At 52.2% G+C, this 3,270-nt stretch overlaps 1 annotated feature.

Moving 5' to 3' along the window:
• Positions 415–914: an enhancer, noted in NCBI's record as "H3K4me1 hESC enhancer chr9:44767663-44768162 (GRCh37/hg19 assembly coordinates)". NCBI's record gives its function as "activates a minimal SCP1, AML or CMV promoter by ChIP-STARR-seq in naive H9 embryonic stem cells {active_cell/tissue: H9 hESC(naive)}" and the evidence as "EXISTENCE:reporter gene assay evidence [ECO:0000049][PMID:30033119]".

Raw genomic sequence — 3,270 nt, 5'->3', positions numbered from 1 at the left:
CCTTGAGTTTGGACTATAGATTGTTATTCTCTCCAGGCAAAGGCAGGAAGCACACAGGAACAGGTAGCGCCAGGTGGCTGCAGGCAGGTGGTCTGGCTGGAGCTCAGTGCAGAAGCACAAGACGGTGGTGAGGAGTGAGGCAGACCCAGGGGACTGAAACGCCACTGGAAAGAAGGTTCCACCCAGAGCAGTGGGGGTCACAGAGTGATCCTGAGAGGAGATTTACACAGAGATGCATTTGAGGAAAAGCAGAGACCAGTGGGAATGCTGGTGCTCTCCGCCAGAGGAGAGGCGACGGTGATCGGGACGAGATAGAGACACCGAGGCGGTGAAGATGGAGAGGCCATGTGAAGGTGGAAGGGACAGAATTTGGTGACAAGCGTCCAGACTGACGCCCAGGTTTCTACTTGGGGAGACCAGAAGGTGGCAGGGCGAATTCCAATGCCAGGTCTCCGGGGAGAGCACACTCAGGAGGAAGATGAGAGTCCGGGTCCCTGTGGGATGGACGTGGAGCCCTCCAGGGGCATTGAACTCTATAGATCTTCCAGTCAGGGGCAGAGGGGTCCAGGGCAGAGGAGACAGAGATCTGGGCACCACCCACGAAGGCACAGTGGGCAGGGGATGGAGCCCTCTGGAGGGAGCCAGCGCAAGGGTGAGAGAAGGAGCTTGCAAAGGAAGCAGAGCGGCAGCCAGGACAAGGGAAGGCACCCGGGAGGAATTTGCCTGCAGACCCCAGGGTTGAGTAGGCTTTAAGGAGGAGTGCATGGGGAGCATTGGGCTGCTCACAGACTGAACACACAGAGGCTGGCGTGGATGCCTGTGGCCTCTGCCCTTGCAACAACCTCTGTCTTGGGTCAGGTTTCCTGGAAGCAGAGCTGAGATGGAATTCCTGTGGAGGTGATTATGGAGGGGGTGCTCCTAGGAAAGGAGAGTGGGGGTAGAGAGCCAGTGCAGAGAGCTGAGCAAGGCTGTGACTGCTTCAGCCTGGTTGGATGAAGGGGAGTTCAGGAGCACTGCACCTCACGGCTGTCCCTGCCTTGAGGCCAGGACCATTTTGTGTCTCCTCTCCCTCCCCTCATCAATCAGGCACTGGGTTGTGGGGGAGGGTGTGACCTTCTGGGTGAGGCAGTTTTCCCACTTGGCCTAGGGCAATGAGCCTCCGCTATCCTCAGGTAGCCACCATTGCCTGAAGACAAGTGAGACCCCATGTGCTTGGGCAAAACCAACCCCTTCCCAGCTCCCAGCATTCAGGGAGGGTCTTTGAGTAAGACCACCCTCAGCTGCCTCCTCTGCTGGCAAACTCTCTGTCACTGCTTTCCCCACTGTCTGCCACTGTAGACCCCAGGATTAAGCTCATTATGCTGCTTCTCCCTCTGTATGGAAAGTTTGAGTCCCCCCAGGCCACCCCTTGCCCCAGACAGCTCTGTATATCCCCTTCTCAGACCCTTTCCCCCATCCCCAGTTCCCTCAAACCCTTCCACTCTCAATCTCCTGACCAGCCATGAGCAACGTCCCCCATAACCTAAACTTTTTGTAAACCAAAAATAAAATTCTGAGGGCCCCCCAGCCATCTGAATGGACCTCCTCCTCTGCCAGGGAATTCTTATAATGTAATCTGAAAGACTGGTTCAGGCCATGATGGGAAGTGGGGATCGGACTTGCATGATTATCGCTCCAGCATTAACATCAACACACTTTAGTCTGATAAGAAATATTTTACAGTCTATTCTCTCTGAAGCCTGCCACCTGAAGGCTTCCTCTGCAAATAAGAACTTTGGTTTCCACAATCCTTTATCTTAACCCAAACATTTTCTTTCTATTGATCCCAGGTCTTTAAATCAACTCAACCAATTGTCACCCAGAAAATTTTTAAATCTGCCTATAGCCTGGAAGTCCCCCCTCACCCACCCCCCGCCTTCTAGTTCTCTTGCTTTTCTGAACCAATTTATTTCTTAAATGTATTAGATTGAGGTCTCACGTCTCCCTAAAATGTGTAAAATGAAGTTGCACCCTGACCACCTTGGACATATGTTCTCAGGACCTCCCAGGGGCTGCATCATGGGCCATGATCACTCAGGTTTGGTTCAGAATAACTCTCTTCAAATATTTTACAGAGTTTGACTCTTTTTTGTCAACACTTTGAGCATCCCCTTGACTGTGCTGTAACTGGAGATGGACACCCGCTCGCCCCTCAAGGACCACATCGCTCTGCAGCACTCCTCCTCTTCTTATAACTTTTGGTGATTTCCGTTTCCAGGGGGTGATCCCTGCAAAACCCTGGCCTGCTCTCCTTTCATGGTCTTGACCTCAAAACTACCCCAGCCCTCCTCTCCCATGGCCACACCCTAGATATTGTGGCCCATAACCATAAAGTCTTCTCTCTCCACGAAGACAATTCCGAGTGGCCAACCAGCAGCAGGAGTATTGCCATCTTGGACAAGCACTGCCATTTTAAGTTCACCCTGATCAAAAACCGCCTAAATCCAAACGGCATCAGCCTAATGGCTAAGGTCAGCATGACCAAAAACCACAAATAACATCTCAGACCAGAAACATTCCAAACCCCTCCCTCACCAGAGGCATGCCAGCCCCGAGATAACCTCCCCTCCGGCCACAGATATGTCAGCCCCAAAGCTGCGTTTTGTGTTTCTTTCCTCTTTCTTTAACACTTACACTCCTGATTGTGTCCAGCTGACTTCTGCAGTGCCTCACCTAAACATTCCTTCAATGGCTGGGCTTACTCTCCACTGATCCCTCCACATTTTCACTGTGGTCACCCCTCTGTCCTCCCTCCCCCCTCCCAGGTATTATGGTGGGCACCAAACATTCTCAGCAGCATATGCCAGTTCCTCCAAGTCTTCTCTTCATTAGACCAACGTCCCCAGGCCCCCAGTTTTCCCCAAACAGGATATGGACCACCGATCAGCCATGTCCTAACGTCTTCACCTGGTGCTTCTGTCCATCTGTCCATGTCTTCTTGTCCCTGGAAAGCATGTTCTCTGAGAGCAGAGATTGTGTTTCCTGCATCTCTGTCTCCTGTTGCCCAGCGCAGAATTGTTGCTCAATGAAGATTTGTCCATCCAGATGAAGAATGGATGGGTGGCTGGATGGGTAGGCAGATGGATGATGAGTGGGTAGATGGGTAGGTGGATGGGTGGGGACTGATGGATGGATGGAGATAGATGGATGATGAATGGATGGATGGATGAGTGGGGGGATAGATGGATGGGGATGGATGGATAATGAATGAATTGGTAAGTGGATGGGTGG

The sequence above is a fragment of the Homo sapiens genome, chromosome 9 (genome assembly GCF_000001405.40).
Source record: "Homo sapiens chromosome 9, GRCh38.p14 Primary Assembly".
In the NCBI taxonomy this organism is placed as follows: Eukaryota; Metazoa; Chordata; class Mammalia; order Primates; family Hominidae; genus Homo; species Homo sapiens.
The sequence above is the reverse complement of the archived record's forward strand: the minus strand, read 5'-3'. Positions and strand labels throughout refer to the sequence as shown.